Source organism: Homo sapiens, chromosome 5 (assembly GCF_000001405.40).
Source record: "Homo sapiens chromosome 5, GRCh38.p14 Primary Assembly".
Classification (NCBI taxonomy): Eukaryota; Metazoa; Chordata; class Mammalia; order Primates; family Hominidae; genus Homo; species Homo sapiens.
This window is the reverse complement of record NC_000005.10, coordinates 165,448,482-165,469,930: the sequence shown is the minus strand read 5'-3', so window position 1 is coordinate 165,469,930 and position 21,449 is coordinate 165,448,482. Positions and strand designations below refer to the sequence as shown.

General features: G+C 36.0%; 2 annotated features.

The window, feature by feature from the left end:
• Positions 4,396 to 5,595: an enhancer, noted in NCBI's record as "CDK7 strongly-dependent group 2 enhancer chr5:164891341-164892540 (GRCh37/hg19 assembly coordinates)". NCBI's record gives its function as "activates an origin of replication core promoter dependent on BRD2, BRD4, P300/CBP, MED14 and CDK7 cofactors, with strong dependence on CDK7, by STARR-seq in HCT116 cells {active_cell/tissue: HCT116}" and the evidence as "EXISTENCE:reporter gene assay evidence [ECO:0000049][PMID:35650434]".
• Positions 4,972 to 5,473: an enhancer, noted in NCBI's record as "H3K27ac hESC enhancer chr5:164891463-164891964 (GRCh37/hg19 assembly coordinates)". NCBI's record gives its function as "activates a minimal SCP1, AML or CMV promoter by ChIP-STARR-seq in primed H9 embryonic stem cells {active_cell/tissue: H9 hESC(primed)}" and the evidence as "EXISTENCE:reporter gene assay evidence [ECO:0000049][PMID:30033119]".

Here is a 21,449-nt window from a genome sequence, read left to right as displayed (position 1 = left end):
AGATTGCTTTTGGCAGCATGGTAATGTTCACAATATTGATGCTACCCATCCATGAGCATGGGATGTGTTTCCATTTGTTTGTATCATCTGTGATTTCTTCAGCAGTGTTCTGTAGTTTTACTTGTAGAGGTCTTTGTCTCCTTGGTTAGGTATATTCTTAAGTATTATTATTATTTTTGTAGCTATTTTAAAAGGGGTTGATTTCTTGATTTGATTCTCCACTTGGTTGCTCTTGTATAGAAGACCTACTGATTTGTGTACGTTAATCTTGTATCTGGAAATCTTCCTGAACTCTTTCATCAGTTCTAGGAGCTTTCTGGAGGAGTCTTTAGGATTTCCAAGGTAAACGATCATATCGTCAGCAAACAATGACAGTTTCACTTCCTCTTTACCGATGTGGATGTCCTTTATTTCTTTCTCTTGTCTGATTGCTCTGCCTAGGACTTCTGGTACTATGTTGAAGACGAAGAGGGGGCATCCTTGTCTTGTTCCAGTTCTCATAGTGAATGCTTTCAACTTTTCCCCATTCAGTATTATGTTGGCTGTGGGTTTGTCAGAGATAGATTTTATTACATTGAGGTATAGCCCTTCTATGTGGATTTTGCTCAGACTTTTAATCATAAATGGATGCTGGATTTTGTCAAATGCTTTTTCTGCATCTATGGAGATGATCATGTGTTTTTTGTTTTTAATTCCGTTTATGTGGTGTATCATATTTATTGACTTGTGGATGTTAAACCATCCCTGCATCCCTGGTATGATACCCACTTGATTATGGTGGATTATCTTTTTGATATGTTGTTGGGTTCAGTTAGCTAGTATTTCATTAAAAATTTCAGCATCTGTGTTCATCAAGGATATTGGTCTGCAGTTTTCTTTTTTAGTTATGGCCTTTCCTGGTTTAGGTAGTAGAGTGATGCAGGCTTCATAGCATGAATTAGGGAGGTTTCTCTCTTTCTCTGTGTTGTGGAATAGTGTCAAAAGGATTGGTACCAATTCTTCTTTGAACATCTAGTAGAATTCTGCTGTGAATCCTTCTGGTCCTGGACTTTCTTGTTGGAAATTTTTAAAATTTTAAATTACCATTTCAATCTTGTTGCTTGTTATTGGTATGTTCAGGGTATCTAATTCTTCTTGATTCAAGCTAGGAGGGTTGTATTTTTCCAGGAATTTATCCATCTCTACTAGGTTGTCTAGTTTATGCACATAAAGGTGTTCATAGTAATCTTAAATGGTTTTGTGTTTCAGTGCTGTCAGTTGTAATATCTCCTGTTTCATTTTTTAATGAGGTTGTTTGGATTTTCTCTCTTTTCTTGGTTAAACTTGCTAATGGCCTATGAATTTTATTTATCTTTTCAAATAACAAGCTTTTTGTTTCATTTATCTTTTGTTTTTTTTTTGTTTGTTTGTTTGTTTAAATTTCATTTAGTTGTGCGCTGATCTTGGTTATTTCCTTTCTTCTGCTGGGTTTGGTTTTGGTTTGTTCTTGTTTCTATAGTTCCTTGAGGTGTGACCTTAGATTGTCAGTTTGTGCTCTTTCATTCTTTTTGATGTAGGTGTTGAGGGCTATGAACTTTCTTCTTAGCCCCACCTTTGCTGTATCCCAGAGGTTTTGATGGGTTGTGTCATTATTGTTGTTGAGTTCGAAGAATTTTTTAATTTCCATCTTGATTTCATTTATGACTCAATGCTCATTCAGGAGCAGGTTACTTTATTTCCATGTATTTGCATGGTTTTCCTTTTGGAGTTGATTTCCAGTTTTATTCCACTGTGGTCTGAGAGTGCTTTATATAATTTCAATTTTCTTAAATTTATTGAGGCTCATTTTGTGGCCTATCTTATGGTCTATCTTGCAGAAAGTTCCATGCATTGTTGAATAGAATGTGTATTCTCTGGTTGTTGGATGAAATAGAGTTGATTTCCAGTTTTATTCCACTGTGGTCTGAGAGAGTGCTTGATATAATTTCAATTTTATTAAATTTATTGAGGCTCGTTTTGTGGCCTATAATGTGGTCTGCCTTGCAGAAAGTTCCATGCGCTGTTGAATAGAATGTGTATTCTCTGGTTGTTGGATGAAATGTCCTGTATACATCTGTTAAGTCCATTTGTTCCAATGTATAGCTTAAATCCATTGTTTCTTTGTTGACTTTCCATCTTGATGATCGGTTTAGCAGTATCAGTGGAGTACTGAAGTCCCTCACTATTATTGTGTTGCTGTCTATCTCATTTCTTAGGTCATTAGTAACTGTTTTATAAATTTGGGAGCTCCAGTGTTAGGTGCATGTATGTTTAGAATTGTGATATTTTCCTGTTGGACAAGGTCTTTTACCATTATATGGTGACCCTTTTTGTCGCTTTTAACTGTTGCTGCATTAAAGTTTGTTTTGTCTGCTATAAGAATAGCTACCCCTGCTTGCTTTTGGTGTCCATTTGCATGAAATGCCTTTTTCCACCCCTTTACTTTATGTGGGTTTTTATATCCTTATGTCAGTCCTTCTCCTGAAGGCAGCAGAGAATTGGTTGGTGAGTTCTTATTCATTCTGCAATTCTGTATTTTTTAAGTGGAGCATTTAGGCCATTTACATTCAATATTAGTATTGAGAGGTGAGGTACCCTTGCATTCATACTGCTATTTGTTACCTGTGTACCTTGTTTTCTTTGTTTGTTTTTCCTTTTAACTTGTATTTTTCTTTTATAGTTTCTATGTGATTTATGCTTTAAAGAGATTCTGTTTTGATGTGTTTCCAGGATTTGTTTCAAGATTTAGAGCTTCTTTTAGGAGTTGTTGTAGTGGTGGCTTGGTAGGGGTGAATTCTCTCAGCACTTGTTTGGCAGAAAAGGACTGCATCTTTCCTTCATATATGATGCTTAGTTTCACTGGATACAGAAACCTTTTTTTTTTTTTTTTTTTTTTTTTTTGAGATGGAGTCTCGCTCTGTCATCCAGGCTGGAGTGCAGGGGCACAATCTCTGCTCACTGCAACCTCTGCCTCCTGGGATCAAGTTATTCTCCTGCCTCAGCCTCCACATAGCTGGGATTATAGGTGCCCACCACCATGCCCAGCTAAGTTTTATATTTTTGGTACAGATGGGGTTTCACTGTGTTGGCCAGGCTGGTCTCAAACTTTTGACCTCGTGATCTGCCTGTCTCAGCCTTCCAAAGTGCTAGGATTACAAGTGTGAGCCACCGCACCCAGCCTGGATACAAAATCATTGACTGATAATTGTTTTGTTTGAGGAGGCTGAAGATAGGGCCCCAATCCCTTCTAGCTTGTAGGGTTTCTGCTGAGAAATCTAATGTCAATCTGATAGGTTTTCCTTATGGGTTACCTGGTGCTTTTGTCTCACAGCTCTAAAGATTCTTTCCTTCGTCTTGTCTTTAGATAACTTGATGACAACGTGCCTAGGTGATGATCTTTTTGTGATGAATTTCCCAGGTGTTCTTTGTGCTTCTTGTATTTGGATGTCTAAGTCTCTAGCAAGGCTGGGGAAGTTTTCCTCAGTTATTCCCCAAAATATGTTTTCCAAATTTTAGATTTCTCTTCTTCCTCAGGAACACTGATTATTCTTAGTTTTGGTCAAGTAACATAATCGCAGGTTTCTTGGAGGCTTTGTTCATATTTTCTTATTTTTTTTTTGTCTTTGTCGGATTGGGTTAACTTGAAGACCTTGTCTTCAAGCTCTGAATTTCTTTCTTCGATTTGTTAAAGCCTATTGCTGAGACTTTCCAGAGCATTTTGCATTTCCTTTTTTTTTCTTTTTGAGATGGAGTCTCGCACTGTCGCCCAGGCTGGAGTGCAATGACGCAATCTTGGCTCACTGCAACCTCTGCCTCCTAGGTTCAAGCAATTCTCCTACCTCAGCCTCCCGAGTAGCTGGGATTACAGGTGCCCGCCACCACGCCTGGCTAATTTTTTGTATTTTTAGTAGAGACGGGGTTTCACTATGTTGGTCAGGCTGGTCTCAAACTCCTGACCTCATGATCCACCTACCTCAGCCTCACAAAGTGCTCGGATTACAGGCGTGAGCCACCATGCCCGGCTGCATTTTGCATTCCTTTAAGTGTGTCCAATGTTTCCTGAATTTTTAATTTTTTTTTCTTTAAGCTATCTATTTTCTTGAATATTTCTCCCCTCACTTCTTGCATCATTTTTTGGATTTCCTTGCATTGGGCTTCACCCTTCTCTAGTGTCTCCCTGATTAGCTTAGTAACTAACCTCCTGAATTCTTTTTCAGGTAAATCAGGGATTTCTTCTTGGTTCGGATCCATTGCTAGTGAACTAGTGTGATTTTTGGGGGGTGCTAAAGAGCCTTGTTTTGTCATATTACTAGAGCTGGTTTTCTTATTCCTTCTCATTTGGGCAGCCTCTGTCAGAGGGAAGGCCTAGGGCTGAAGGCTATTTTTCAGATTCTTTTGTCCCACAGGGTGTTCCCTTGATGCAGTACTCTCCCCCTTTCCCTATGGATGTGGCTTCCTGTGAGCCGAGCTGCAGTGATTGTTATATCTCTTCTGGGTCTAGCCACCCAGCAAGTCTATCCAGCCCCAAGCTGGTACTGGGGGTTGTCTGCATAGAGTCCTGTGATGTGAACCATCTATAGGTCTCTCAGCCATGGATACCAGCACCTGTTCCAGTGGAGGTGGCAGGGGGTGAAATGGACTCTGTGAGTGTTCTTAGCTTTGGTGATTTAATGCACTAATTTTATGCTGGTTGGTCTCCTATCAGGAAGTGGCGCTTTCCAGAGAGCACCGGCTGTGGTAATATGAAGAGGAACTGGTGGTGGGCAGGGCCCTAGAAATCCCAAGATTATATGCCCTTTGTCTTCAGCTACCAGGGTGGATAGGGGAAGGCCCATGAGGTGGAGGCAGGGCTAGGCGTGTCTGAGCTCAGACTTTCCTTGGGTGGGTCTTGCTGTGGCTGCTGTGGGAGATGGGGATAAGGTTCCCAGGCCAATGGAGTTGTGTATCTAGGTGGATTATGACTGCCTCTGCTGAGTCATGCAGGTTGTCAGGGAAGTGGGGGAAACCTGGCAGTCATAGGCCTCACCCAGCTCCCACGTAAACTAAAGAGCCAGTCTCACTCCCACCATGCCCCCCGCTCCAACAGCTCGGAGTTTGTTTCCAGGCGGTAGGCAAGCCAGGCTTGAGAACTTGCCCCAGGCTACCCGCCTAGGTTCTTCCCCCACCTGTGAAGACTGCACACTGGATTCGTGCACTCCTCTGAGTTCTGGTAAGGAGGCTTCTCACCCAGTTCAAATTGCTACAAAGTTCAGCTAGAGATTTCCTCCTCTCCCTATGGCGTTTTTCTCTGCTCCTCTGGCCATCCTCCAGAAGGATCCCTGTGGTGCCAGGCAGGAATGGCCTGCTTGGGGACATAGAGAGCTTCCAGGGTTTTCCCGCTGCGTTCTCCACTCCTGTATTTCGCTCTGCTCTCTAGATTGAATCACCTCCAGGTAAGGTCGAAACTTCTTTCCCAAACGGAGCTTCAGCTTCCCCAGTGGGGATGTGTGTTCGGGAGAGGAGGATCTCTGTTTCCCACTTCCGCAGTTGGGGCATTCACAGTATTTGGGGTGTTTCCAGGGTTCTGCATGAGCAGTCCACTTCCTTCAGAGGGTCTGTGGTTCTTCCTGGGATTCCTGGTTCGTTCTTGCAGTTGACCTGGAGGTAAAATCCACGATGCGCTCCTCTGCACCGCTGCTCTGTCCATCCAAGTCAGATTGGCAATCTAGTCCTGCCTCCCGTTGGCCATGATGATCCAATCCATGCTCTTCGTTTTATGTATGGTAGTCACGCACTCATTCCCTTAGAATTTCATATTCAAACAAGATTCATTGCATGCCTACAATTTTCCAAGCATTGTATTAGATGTCGTATGCAAAATTATGGCAAGTGGTGTAAAAATATGTGGAGTAGTGTAATTCTAATCAGCTTTCCAAAGCCAGATTAAATCTCAGTTTTACTTCAAGCTCATATGACCATCTCTGTTCTCTTTCTGTAATTGTTTAACTTTTCAGTGCAAGTTTTTGAAAATAACATCAAGGCAAAAAAAGAGCAAAACATCATAGGTTTACAGCACAATTAATATTTTACAAAGTAAATAAAGCACCTAATAATTAATCCCCATATTATTGGAACTCCAGAAATGCCACAATGGCCCATGTGTAACTGTCCCTTAGAAAGATAACCAGCCTCCTGACTTCTCACACCATAGGCAGTTTAGAATAAGTGTAATCATACAGTTTATACAAGGAAGAAATATATGTCTTTCACTCAATTTATGTTTGTAAGAACATCATATTTTTACACATTGTAATAACTAAGTAATCACTATTGTACTGTATTCCATTAGAGTAATATAGAATTTATTTTTTCATGTTACTATGTGTAGTTACTATTTTCCAGCTTGGGTTAGTAAGAATACATCTGATATTACTATTCACATACAAGTTATGTATTTAATTTATGTACAATTCATGTAGAGATATGTTTTTGTTTCTTTTTGAAAAAAATATCTAAGAATGCAATGGCTGGGTCAATGGTGAGCATATATTTAAACTGATAGGAAAATGACTAAATGTTTGCCAAAGTGACTATACCATCTTCCATTTTGATTGGTTATATTATTGTAAATCTCCATTAGTTTCAGTTGTCCACATTCTCTCAAACACTTGGTGTGGTCAATCTTTTAATATAATCCACCCTAAAGGGTGTTTAATGCTATCTCCATGTGGTTTTAATTTGCATTTCTCTGATGATTAATGAAGTTGGGCACGCTATCATGTGCTTAGCTGCCATTTTTATATCTATCTTTTTAAAGTTTCTGTTCAAATATTTTGCACATGGAAAAAAAAACACACAGAGATGAGTTGCTTCTCTACTTACAATTAAATTGTAAGAGTTAGTCCTATATTCTAGACAGAAGTTTTTCACATATATGTTTCAATAATATTTTCTGCCAGTTCTGGCTTGCTTTTTAATTTTCTTAATTAATAAGAAATAATTTTAACTTCTGCCCCATACATCATCGTGAGGCAGAAATTAAGTTTATGTATTTTTTTAATCATCCATTGTTTATTTTTTCATAAGAAATACTGCCCCCCTAGTGTTTTGATTTAGAAGCTTTAGTGTTTAACTTTTATGTTTTTATATACAGCAGAGCAGTATACTTCCATTTGTCGCCATCCAGTTCTTCAGGATACTATTGACATATATGTTTATTTTACATAACGTTTTAAATCAAAAACGCTTGCCATTCGGACAGGTATAATTTTTAAAAATAAGCCTTTTTTCTTATCCACATATTTATGGTTTCCTGTGTTTTTTATCCTTTCAAGTAGACCTGCAGTTTCTTCTCATATCATTTTACTCAACTTGAGGAATGATGAAGAAGCTTAACAATTTCTTAATACTGTTGTCTTAAATTTTCTTACCTTTAGTTTATATGAAGTCTTTGTTTTACTGTATTTTTAAAGGCTATGGCCCATAGGTTGAGATTTCTATGTGGCTTTTTTCTCTTTGATCCTTTAAAATGGTCATTCCATTGCCTTCTGATTTATGATGTATCTAATAAGAAGTCAAATATTAGTATTTTAATTTTTCTCCTATATATAAAATCTTCCTTTTATTCTCTGTCTGCTTTTAATATTTCCTCATTGTCTTTGATTTTTGAAAATTTGACCAGAGTTAGATTTCCTTTTTAAAAAAAAACATTTATTATTTTTTAAAATTTCTGTGGGTACATAGTAGGTGTATATATCTATGGGGTGCATGAGATGTTTTGATGTAGGCATGCAATGTGAAATAAGCACATCATAGGGAATGGGAGAGCCCTCCCCCCAGGCATTTATTCTTTGAGTTCCAAACAATCCAGTTACATTCTTTAACTTATTTAAAATATACAATTAGGTTATTATTGACTATAGTTACACTACTGTGCTATCAAATAGTAGGTCTTATTTATTCTCTTTTTTTCATAGTATACAATATGCTTTTTGGGACTGTATTGTATATTTTACCAGATTTGGAAGATCCCTATTTTCTTTCTGCTTCTTCAATTACATACACAGTAGATAGCATAATTGTTTTTCCTATAATTCACAGATGCATACATCTATTTTCTAGTATTTTTCCTTTCTGTTCTTATGTATATTTCATGTCTTCTGATCTGTCTTTAAGCTTACTGAATTATTTCTTGTGCACTATCTAATCTTGACTGGCGCTGCACAGAAAAATTTTCATTTTAGATATTTTAATTCTTGGTTGTTGAATGGTTATTTGGTACTGTTTTGTATTTTTCATTTATCTGTTGAGCTTCTCCATTGGTCATTTATTTTGTATACTTTTTCATTATAACATTGAACATTTTAATAATAGCTGTTTTAAAGTTCTTGGCAGGTCATTCTAACATACACAGGATGTCTGAGACTATTTCCACTGACTACTTTTTCTCATAATGATGGTTCATCTTTTCTTTTGGGGGAGTGCAGTATAGTTATTATAGTGATAGTCTCAATCTTGTGGATACTATATTTTCAGAGTATAAATTATGTTTTATTTCTTTAACAGTTACTGAGTTGTACAGATTTATCCTGTTGAAGAGTGACTTTAAGCCTTTTTAGACTGAGTTTAAACTAGACTTACTGGTGAGGTTTGACCTTCCTATAGAATAGACTGAATCCTTGGTGAGTTTAGAAAGGCTTTTTTCCAGTCTCGATAGTCTGAAAACCAATGTCTTCCAGCAATGCATATTTATTTATTTGTTTATTATTTTCAGTTCACAGACCTTCAGTAGCTGTTCTCCGTCCTGTCTTGTAGTGTTTCACGTGCACATGAGTCACTGGCTAAAGACTTAAGTGTAACCTTATGCCAATTTTTAAGATTTTTTCTCTGAATGGATTTCTTGTCTCCACTATACTGTCCTACAGATTCTAACACCCTCAATGGCCCCAAATTTTGATTTCTATTTTCTCTAGTCGATGGGATCCTTGGTTTCTGTTTATTTGGAAACTTTCTCCACCTAAAAAGCAGCCATGAAAGTTGAATACGTCTTGTGCATTTCACACTTCTTAAGGATCTCCTTCATAAGCTGCCTATTATTCCATATCTGAGTATACTGTCTGCATAGATTTTGTCCAGGTTTACAGTGTTTATGCAGGTAAGACATTCCAATTGCTCCATCATAGTTAAAATTAAAATCTGTCCATATTAATATTTTTGGCATTGTTTCTGTCATGAGACATTTGACTTAATAGTTTCACCTCTTATTTGACTATTCCAGCTGCTCTTTAATACATTTCTCTTTTTGAAATAAAGCTCAGAGTTTTGCTTATGCCATATTAAATTCATATTGAAACGCACACTATAAGCCTTTCTAAATGCCTAAGATAAATCTAATAATTTTTGGCATGTGAGGAAAAGCAAATAGAAATTAAAATTATTTACATGCATTTTTCATTTAAAAAATTCCCTGAAAGTGAGAGACTATATTCTTTCCTAATTACTATTTGGCAATTGAAACAACTCAATGTCATACCATTTTAGAAAGAATAATACGTGAATGACAGGACTTTTAAGGGAACTACTGGTGGTCACTGTAAAATATCTTGAAATGTACAGCGTAAGTTTATCAAGTCAAATAAAAATCTGGTGGTGCATATGTCTTTATTGCCTGCCATGGTATATAGCAAAGTTCAAGAATCATTGATATTCATTGGCTGAGTGATGGAAATAAAGTCAAGAGCTCACACTACTGGAATACTATCAGTTTCTACAATAGAGGAATCATTCCTTATCCCATCTGTCAGAGCCTGCTCAGCAAGAATTTAGAGAATTTGAATGGAAGATGAAGTGAAAGTGACACAATGAATTCTGTGTATTATATAATACTCAGGTAATATGCCTTTATTTGGAAACGGGAGACTGAATCGAATCATAGGCTCAGCGTGGTGGCTCATGCCTGTAATTCCAGCATTTTGGGAGGCCAAGATGGCAGGATTGCTTGAGGCCAGGAGTTCAAAGCCAGCCTTGTCAACATAGTGAGACTGTTTCTACATAAGAAAAATGAAAAAGAAAAAACTAGCCAGGTATGATGGCATGAGCATGCAGTCCCAGCTATTCAGAATACTGAGGCAAAAGATCACTTGAGCCCAGGAGTTCCAGGCTGTAGTGAGCCATGATTGCGCCACTGCACTCCAGCCTAGGCAACAGAGCAAGACCTTGTCAAAGAAAAGAAAAAAAAAAAACCCAAACAAACAAACAAAAATCCCCAAACACAGACCCATGTACACGAGAGCTATAGAAAATATAAAAATAATGATAATATAGCCCAATTCCTTCTTTTAACAAAGGAGAAAAGCAGGATAAGAAAGACATCATAGCCTAAGAGGGACAGGAAGTTTGGTGTGAGATAGTTCTAATATATAATGTTAACTGCACTACTTACTAGCTATACTGAATCACACAAGTCCATTAATATCTCCAGGATTTAGTTTCCTCATTCCTAAAATGTGTGCTGCACTGTTAAACTTACAGACTTATTATGAAGAAGAACACTCAAGTACTTGGAATTCACTTGGAAAGAAGTCCAAACTTTAAAAAAATTATATTTTCTTTCTATTTTCTTTGCCCAAAGACACATCATAAGTAATTGGCAGTCAGCTTCACAATTCAGACCCAGTGTTCTTTTTATACACACACTGTACTCCACAATGGATCAAAATCTTTTGCTATTTAGCAACTCGCCAATAAAGGACACAGACAAGTGATACAGGTATACATATTTCTAATACGTATACGACAAAAATAGCATTATATAGTGAAATTGCAAAAATTTTGTCGCAAGAAAAATTTTGAGTACTTTTCAAAGGACCTACTTCTACGTTTACAAACAATTTTTCGTGTCTGATTAATGAGAAACTTTGGAAACAATTTAATCTATCCAAGGATGTGAATGTTAGTTTCTATTTTTCAAGCCTGATTACAGAAGAACTTCTAAAGCAGTTTAATCTGTTCAGGGATGCTAAACAAATATGTCAACATTCATTTTGCATTTATGTCTGTAGCAGTTAAAGGAAGAAATGTGGAAATACACAGAATTTCGTATTTTCTCTCCGTCTTTTCTTTTTTAAGAACTAAGAGACTCCAGTGCATTTTATTTTCTATAGAGGATTCAAACTCCTAACTGAAATAAATTCATTTCAGATTGAAGTTTTTAGTAGCTTTACCAAGCAGTTTATGGGTTGGCACTCTGCCACAAAGTGATCTATAACCTCATAGTTCACTATTATGCAAATACAAATTTGGCAAGAAGACATGTGTTCTATGATTTTTCTCTAAGGATAATCACAAATTTCAAATTTCAAATACAAAATTATGCTTGACATTTAATTTGAACATGGCTTACTTTTAAAAATAAATAATATAAAATCTGTCCTGTTGTACTTTGGTTGAGAAAGGGTTTTTCTTTTTGTGTATTTTCAGGTTTAGTGCTTTATATCTGCAGGACATATGACTCTCAGACACATATACTTACATGTGCCTGCTGGATATATACATAATTTTGAAGCTTCTCTTGAGAGAAACATAAGACATTGTTTCAATAGAAACAGAGCAGGTTAGAAAAATTATTCTCAGTCAGTAGACACGTCTCAAAATTGTTAAAATTCGTATGTCCAATCATCATTAATTATACAAAATGAGGCTGACAAGCTCACATGCATTCAACCGTGTTGTACAGGGAATTATTACTGATGAATGACAGATGAAACGTAATGAAGATTGGATGTGAGTAATTAATCCAGGAAAGGTCCACTTTAGGAAAAAAGTTGTTCTTTCACTCTTCTTAAACTTAGCCAGTAGGGGTCAGCACAACAGCTGTGGTGGATAACATTTCCCTTTGCTCTTGTATCCACAGAGCTATTCTGATGTAGATATGGCCCATTGTCAAATCTCAGTGGTGTCAAGTCATGCTGAACAATAGTTTTAATAAGTTTTAATATCCGGAAATATACCAAACACTGTGGACTATTTACAGTTTTTCTAACAATCAAATGCCTTTATTTCAATGGTCTGGGTAAATGAAACAAACTTTATTTCAATGGTCTGGGTAAATCAGCACACACATTAAACAAGATGTATTACTTAAAATTCTTTGCAAGTTTGTAGATTGTTTTTGGGAGGATTTTCAATATCAAATTAAATTGCATAATAAATCACCTCCAAAGAATTCACTGAGTTTATAATGTAGAATAATGAAATGTGCAATATATGAAGTGAAACATCTCATATTTTAACCTTTATGCTAAGTGAAAGTAGCAGGTAGAGGTAGAACTGTGTTTATAAAAGTGTTTTCCTAAGGTATTGAGAGGAAAATGCAGGCCTAGTGTGACATATTATTTATTCCCTAGACTCTGTTTGCCACATGCCAAGTAAAATTCACTATATTGCCAACTTGGTTGAATTTTCTCTCACTGAAGCAGTCAGGGTCAGAATCATATGAAAGAATGCCATTTGGTATGGTTTAAAGGATTTCAAAGGCCAATCCAAAAATATATTCTCCACTTCATATCATTGTAACTGACATTGCAATCATTTCTAAGTCTCTGTGCTAAGTTGATTGCCTATCCATTCACTCATGTTTCCAATCGTGTAACCATTTATTCATTCACTGTCCACTCATTCAGACATACATCCATTTATGCCTCAGCACATCTATTTATGCCTGTATTCGTTTTTAAATTTAACAAAATTTGCATAGTGTGCTTGCATGATGAGGGATATAGCAAGAAAGCAACAACAATAACAAAAACTGCCAAAGTCCCTGCCCTCATGGAACTTAAAGTCTAGAGAAGGATTCGGATAGTAAATAAATAATTTTAATGTAGCATGTTCAATGAAATGAAATGTACAGTGCATCCAGGAATTGAGAGACAGCGTGAAAGGCCTGCGTAGAACTTCTTGATGAAAAGATGTGTAAGCTGAGGCCAAGAAAATGGTTATATGGAACCAAGTTCAAGGAGGGAAGACATGGGTTGGGAGGAAAAAAGACAGTCAAGATTTCTGTAACTTTTTTCAAACTATCTATATAATAATCATCATCATCAATGTTGACTGTAGTCTTCTCTATCCCTGCAATATCAAACTATTTCCTTAAATACTAAAATTAATTATGACAATCTTTATTTTTACAGATGAGAGGACAGGAGAAGAGAGGTTATATGGTTATGTGTCCAAAATCATGGCCTGTGTGGTTTTGATCCTGTCATCATGTTGCTAACTGGTTATTACAGAAAACCAAATACCACATGTTCTCCCTTATATTTGGAAGCTAAACAGTGAGAACACATGGACCCAAAGAAAGGAACAACAGACACTGGGGCCTACCTGAGGGTGAAGGGTGGGAGGGGACTGAAAAACTACCTATTGGGTACTATGCTTATTACCAGAGTGACAAAATAATTTGTACACCAAACCCCCCTGACATGCAATTTACCTATGTAACAAACCTGCATGTGTACCCCGAACCTAAAATCAAAGTTAAAAAAATAAAAATAAATGAAATCATGGCCTGAACAACTCTGAAGCCCACCATTGCCACTCTTTACCACTGGCCTCTTTTGAAAGGCTCACAATATCGAGTTACCCTAAACAGCCAAGCCTGATAGTTCTCTGGCTTTTACATTCATTTTCTGGCAGGTTTCTAAAGTTATACAAGTCTAGGATTGTAATGTTAGGCCCTCGAAAGCAGGTGTATGTGAGAGCCTACTCTATCATGGTGTGGTATAAGGGGGAGGAGGTTGGAGGGATTCATATGAATTCTGAGGGAAAGTAGGGAGGTTTTAGGCTGGAGGAATAGTGTGAGCTTAAGAGAAGTACTGTTCACAATGGGAAGTATAGAAAGATGAAACAAAGCCACACCTACCTACTTGTTTTGCCTTAAGCATAACTGCAACTTAAACAGTCTACTTTCTAATGGAAACTGGTTGGTACTACAATAGTACACTTTAATTGTAGTGAAATACAGCATTTTCTACACTAACTTAAAATTTTCAAAGACACATAATTTAACGTAACACCAAACAGGTAAAAACTAATTTAGGAGAAACCTAAATTATTAAGACATAATGAATTCATAGATATAGGTGTAGATAATACAGCTATAACAATAGCTATGTATAACATATATGTAGCTGTAAGATATAGATAACATCATGAGCTACGTAGATATCAGTTGCATAGTGGAATGAGGAGAGCCAGCACACCCTGATTGAAATTCTGACTCTTTTACTTTCTAATATTTGACTTTAGGTAAATCATATCATTCCACCAAGCCTCAGTTTTCATGATTGTAAAGTGTAAATATAAATTCCTATCTGAAAGAGTTTAATTAAAAATATAGATAGATGTAAGAACATAGTTCAGTATCTATTATCTTTGTAACATTCAATATCTGACAAATAATATTATTACTGTAAATTTACCAGCCTTCCACTGAGCAAGGTGCCATCAACCTTAATGAAAGTAAGCGTATAAAATAAAATATTTGCAACATTTCCCTTTACCTGTCTCATAAACATACATAATCCCTGTCTCTCTTATATATATATATGCATATCCAGAATATATGAGGAACTAGGATTCAATAGAATAAAGACAATTGATCTCATAAAAATATTAAAAAATGAACATCAAATTTATCAAAGGAGAAATAATTCAAATGGCTAACAAGTATAAATGATTGGAAAAATGCAAATTAAAACAATGGAATATCTGAATGAGTGAAAATACCTAATGTTGACTCAGGCATAAAGAAATCAACTCTCACGTATACTTGAAACCCAATTTTTAAGTATCTATCAAAAGTTTGAAAGCACATTCTCTTTACTCAGCAATTCTGCTTCTAGATTTCTTATAGAGAAATACTTATACTCTAGGCAAGTACAAAGATGTTCACCATTCTTATTATCTATATGAAAAGGAAATATAGTAAATTCTATCAATAGAATAAAACTTTAATTTGTGTTTATTTTTAATTTTTTTTTAATACAAGGTCTCTCTCTGTCACCCGGTCTGGAGTAGAGTGACACAATGATGGCTTGGTGCAGTCTCAACCTCCTGGGCACAAGTGATCCTCTCATCTCAGCCTCCCAAGTAAGCTGGGATGACAGGTGCACACCACCATGCCAGGCTAATTTTCCCTCTCTCTATGTATATATATTTTTTGGTTGTGTGGGGGTCTCACTACCTGGCCTAAGCTGGTCTCTGACTCCAGGGCTCAAGGGACCGTCCCACTTGGGCCTCCCAAAGTGTTGGGATTACAGGCGTGAGCCACCATTCCCTGCTAATGCTTTAATAAATTATTGTCTGTAATGCAAGCTAGTATCCATGAGCTTGAAAGAGATGTAATAAAATCTATCTGCAAGTTTGCAATATATATAGTATGTATTATAGATAATTACATATAGTGTATAATATATAAAGTAATATATATATGATATATAAAAAGGAATTTCTCCAAGAGATAATTTAAACTGAAACAAAAGTACAAACCTATTATTCAAGAACATTTATGTAAAACCATACACAGATTCACACACACCCACACACAAAACCCTAAACTATATATTCTGTATTTCTGTAAATGCACTGTGAAAAAAAGCCCTGCAAAAATACACAAGAAAATAAATCTAACCCCTGTGAAGGAAGGTGAACTCCGTAGTGACAGAGGGTAAAGAGGGCATTTCATTTTTACTGTAACCATCTTTTTCATGTTAAAGAAGAATATTAAGTCATATTTCATAATTTTTTAAGCATAGATTGTGGATATTTCTGGAGTTTTGCTGTAATTTTGAGAGGAAACAGAGTGTAAGTTGGGCATTCTAAAAATTAGACTGAACTCACACATAAATCATGAATCTCAAAACTTATTCACAAACTTAATATTTTTGTGGCCCATTTCCCATTTTTCTCTACTTTTCACCACCTTACCCCCTTTTTTTAGACACAGGGTCTCACTCTGTTCCCCAGGCTGGAGTGTAGTGGTAAGATAGATGGCTCACTGCAGCCTGACCCACTACAGCCTTAAACTCTTGGGCTCAAGTGATCCTCCTGCCTCAGCCTCCCAAGTAGCTGGTACTACAGGCATGTGCCACCATACCCAGCTAATTTTTAAATTTTTTTGTTGAGATGGGTATCTCACTATTTTGCTCAGGCTGGTCTTGTATTCCTGGCTGCAAGTGGTCCTCCTGTTTTGGCCTGCAAAGGCATTGAGATTACAGGCCTTGGCTACCATGCCGGGCCCCATTTTTTTCAAACAAATAAAACAATTTGGAATATGAAGACAAAATGCCAATTAAAGAGAAATATCAGTAATCACTTATTAGTATCTTTTATTATTATTGATATGAGATGCTACAAAATGGTAACAAGACATACCTTATTTTAGCGAATATATATTATAAAATATGTAATTTTTATGCTACATATATATTGCTCACATATATTATAAAACACACAACTTTACAATAACTTCCAAATTTTAGAATCTAATTTCAAATTTACTTAGCATTGTTGAATTGACAAATTCTTGTCTCTGGTCATTATTATGAAAGAGGAAGGTGTCACCTTCCTAATTATAAGTTATTGTGACAACAATCCTCTTTTTTACACATCTTGCATTTTTCTCATTTAGGATCAAAATTGATACCATCTCTGGTATCAAGTTTTTAATGGCTTCATTTTCTAGAAATTCCCTGAAGATGAACTTCATCATCTGTGTGGGAAGGAAAAATGTATTTGAAATTTCAATCAAAATTTGGACTATTTTCCCATAGGAAATGTTTAAGCTTTTTCATTTGATCCATTACAATCTACACTACTTGAAGGCAAAGATGAAGTCTTAGCCATCTTTGAATTTCACCTTTAGCATGGGGTCTGACACTTGATGTTAGGTGAATAAATGCCTTAGCAGATATTCAGTAAACATAATCTAAGGCTAAAAATCCTGGAATTTAGAGCCAAAAAATTGACGACAGAATCCTTGTCTTACTACTCAGAAATTATTTATTTATTTAACTTGTCTAACTTTACTTCCTGTCTGTTAACTAAACATAATCATACCAGATAGGGAGTTGGGAGAATTAAACATGGTGAATAAATGAAATGGTTTACATATTTAAGATAATATTCAGCTATGTATTTGATATTATTCTGGGCAAAGGCGGTATATAAGTTGCCTAAGTTAGAGAGTTCCTACCCTTACAGAGCTTCATTACTATGGAGGAAACGTGCATTACATAAATGATCATGTAAATAATTACAAAAAGAAGTTTAGGGAATCTAAATTTGTCAATGGATGTAGGAGATGTTTCCGTAATTATATAAAATTAAAGGCCAAAACATGACAGCCTATCGAGGAAATAGCAGGTGATATAGAAGAGAACAATACTTACTGAGGGTATAGCAACCTCAGAATTAAGTGAGAGGATGAGAAACTGAGGAACTTTTAAAAGTCCAGGGAAGCTGAAGGACTCCGGGAAAGGAAGGTAGGTTCATGGGATGGTAGGAGCTATATTGAGCATAAAATTATGTACAGGAAACTCTTGGTAGAGGATCAGGTGTATGGTAGATGCAAAATAAGTTATAAATAGGAAGAGGAGATGACAAAGATGGTGATCACGATAAAACAGTTTTCTGAGCAAACATTTTTAAAAAGAGTCATTCTGTATGATAAATTGTGGAATTACAGTTTACTAGCCTGTGGTTTATATGTTTGTCTAGCTACTAAACATTCTGATCTTCACCTTCAAAAAGTTTAAGTGAAGTCAAATTCTAATCATCACTATCATCATAAAAAGCAACTGATGGTATCAATGGCTGTGTTTAGGGCCATGGTGGCTAGTTAGTCATCGTGATGATTTTCTTGGCTATATGTTTAAGTTTAGCGAAAAAAGAAAAAAAAAGTATGTTTGTGTGTGTGTGTGAGAGAGAGAGAGAGTGAGAGACAGGCAGAAAGGGAGAATAAAGACCATTGAGGCCTTTCTGTCTTGATAAACTGATGAAAAGAAAATAAGTGCAAGTTTAACTAATTCCAAGAAATGTTTACTAAACACACCAATTTGCAATTTGAAAGTTAGTCTGTGCCAAACTTTTGGGCAATGACTAAACAAAGCTGTATTATAAGGCTACCTTTCTTAATCAGATAATTATTTTCAAAATAACGTATCTTCTGGGTAAAGAGAAAGGTAAACTAAAATTCCTGTTTGCAAATATATTCTCAATTATCCACATATGAAATATGTGTGTTAAATGCTTACTCCATGTGTTACATCTGGAAAGCATTGGATCATATCACTTTCTCATTGTTTGGCCATCATCAGGAACTAAATTCCATTTTACATAAAATACTAGAAAATCAAATCAACTTTTACAAAATATTTTATTTAAAAGCATATAAGTGCTCAAAATGTCACACTATTATTAATTATTATTATTGGCCATTTTGAAATCTACATTAAGTTAAATAGCTTTAAGAATTTCGATTCCAGTGTTATCTACACATAGACAATAGTAAGACAGAGCAAGTAGGTTTCAACATCAGCATAGCAAGTGCTTCACTACTATTAAGTTCAAATTTAATAGAACTGTGCAAGATAAAATGTCTAAGCTACCACCTTATTAACTGAAGTCCCAGATACCTCTCCCTGAGAGATTATAGATCTGTTACCGTAGAGCTGTAGTCACCTGTATATTCAGCAAATGGGAATCAGGATGTTAAATAGCTGCCCAAACACTCAAGCCACAGGCTAATAGATCACAACTTTACAGCATATATTCCCAAGCTTTCTCAGAAAACTGTGCTTTGCTTTGATCATATGCTTTTTCAAGTTGCAACGTATCCAGGGGGGAAAAAGTTGAGTTACATGTTCACTACCCAGTCCTGCATAATAAGAAAAATGTTAATTATCTAACAGCGTGTTCACATTTTCTACTAGTTGGCAAGTATAGGATTTTGGCTGCTATCACTTCTCCAATAGGTATTGGAGTTTTACACATTTGTTATCAGCACAGAATTTGCCTTGTCTAGTTGTACTGCCTACATATTCCACTGTTCCAGGAGTCATTTAAGCATATAATAAATTGAGTTTCAATGAGCTGGAACCTCCCGCTTCAGCCGATTTTTCAGCAAATTATTTTCCAGCTGTAGCTTCAGCAGGAATTTTTCTCACTCCTGAAAACATGGCTGTAATGGCGACATCTTTTATATGCCAATTCTAAAATGATTTTAATCGGATGCTTATTATGCATTAGGTTAGCGATGAGCAAATTTTAAAAGGGTTCAAATCACTCTATGGATACGGCAAATATCTTTAATAGACTTCGTGTTTTGGCACAAATGTCTGATGTGACAAAAACAAGGCCAATATATTTGGGACTTCGCCATAGAGCAAGGTAAAATGCTGCTTCACCATTTATAGTGTGCTTTCCTGCATATTGATGTTCCAACAAACATCACTGAAGTATGAAGCAGGTATTGATATTTGAGGATCAGAGGACCCCAAACTTTGAATTTAGTTTAATCACTGGCATCTGTTCCCATTTAAACTTGAGTTCTCTCTTGAAGCAAATAGATATGAAGGGTATTCAAAAGAAACACACTGAGATGATAATTGTAAATGACTGGTTTACCCCATTTAGGATTCTATATATACTTGGCAATAGCCTAATATGGTATGTGTGTCCTAATAGATATAGATAGATAGACAGATAGAGATATGCAGACATAGACATGAATATGTATGTGTATATGTATAAATAACATAAATATATGTATAAATAACAAATATATGTATAATCACATAAATATATGTGATTATACATATATACATATATTTATATAACACTAATTATGTGTAGAAAGATGCCCAGCACTTTACTGCTTTTTTGTCTGCGGTTGTTCTCACCATGTTATACATTTCTTTTGATATTATACCTTCTTTTATTTGAGAAACTTTTCCCACTTCAATGTAGACGCATAAGGAAGAGCAGAGAGCAATGGGAAACACATGCAGAAATAAAGCAGAGGTTTGCTTTAAAAAGCTTATGATATTGCCATCATATAGGTGATCTGTCATTGTATAAAATATCATCAGGCAGCACATGACTGTATTTAAGGTGTACAACTTGATGTTTTAACATATGTATACATTATGACATGATCATCACATTAAGCTAATTAACTTACCCAATACTTCACATAGTTACGTGTGTGTGTGTGTGTGTGTGTGTGTGTGTATGTGTTAAGAACACTTAAGTGTGAAACCCTGTTTCTACTAAAATACAAAAAATTAGCTGGGCGTGGTGGCGCACGCCTGTAGTCCCAGCTACGCGGGACGCTGAGGCAAGGGAATCACTTGAACCTGGGAGGTGGAGGTTACAGTGAGCCAAGATCGTGCCACTGCACTCCAGCCTGGCAACAGAGCAAGACTCCGTCTCAGAAAAAAAAAAAAAAAAAAAAAAAAGAGCACTTATAATCTACTCATTTTCAAGTATTTCATGTGTGGCTAACAATAGTCACCATGCTGTACATTAGATCCCCAGAACTTACCCATCTTGCGTGACTAAAACTTTGTATCCCTTGACCAACATCTCCCCCTTTCCTCCTCCTCCAGTCCCTGGCAACGATTATTCTACTCTCTGATTCTGTAAGTTTGGCTATTTTAAATTCATATATAAAGGATGCTGTATTTGCCTTTTTGTGTGTGGCTTATTTAATTTAGCATGATGTCCTCCAGTTTTGTCCATGTTGTCTCAAATGGCAGGATGTCCTTTTCTAAGATTGAAAAATATTGCATTGTGTATATAAACATTTTCTTCATTCATTCATCCACTGAGAGGCATTTAGTTTGTTTCTGTATCTTGGCTTTGGTGAATAATACTGCAATGAACATGGGACTGCGGATATCAGATAGGTCTTGGAGAATTCTCACTTCATTTCCTTTGGATAGATGCCCAGATACAGGAATGCTAAATCATATGGTTGTTCTATTTTCAATTTTTTGAGGAACCTTCATACTGTTTTTGATAATGTCTGTATCAGCTTATATTATCACCAACAGTGCACAAGGCTTCCCTTTTTTCTACATTCTTGCCAACCCCTGTTATCTTTTTTCTTTTTGATAGTAGCCATTCTAACAGGTATAAGGTAAAATCTCACGGTTATTGTGATTTGCATTTCCCCGATAACTAGTGGTGTTGAACTCCTTTTCATTTGCCTGTTGCACCTTTGTATGCCTTCTTTGATAAAATGTCTATTCAAGTCCTTTGCATATTTAAAAAAATCAGATTGTTATTTTACTATAGAGCTGCATGAGTTCCTTATATATTTTGGGTAGTAATCTCTTACCATATGTATAGGTTGAAAGTATTTTCTCCTATATTTCCAATATTATCTAATA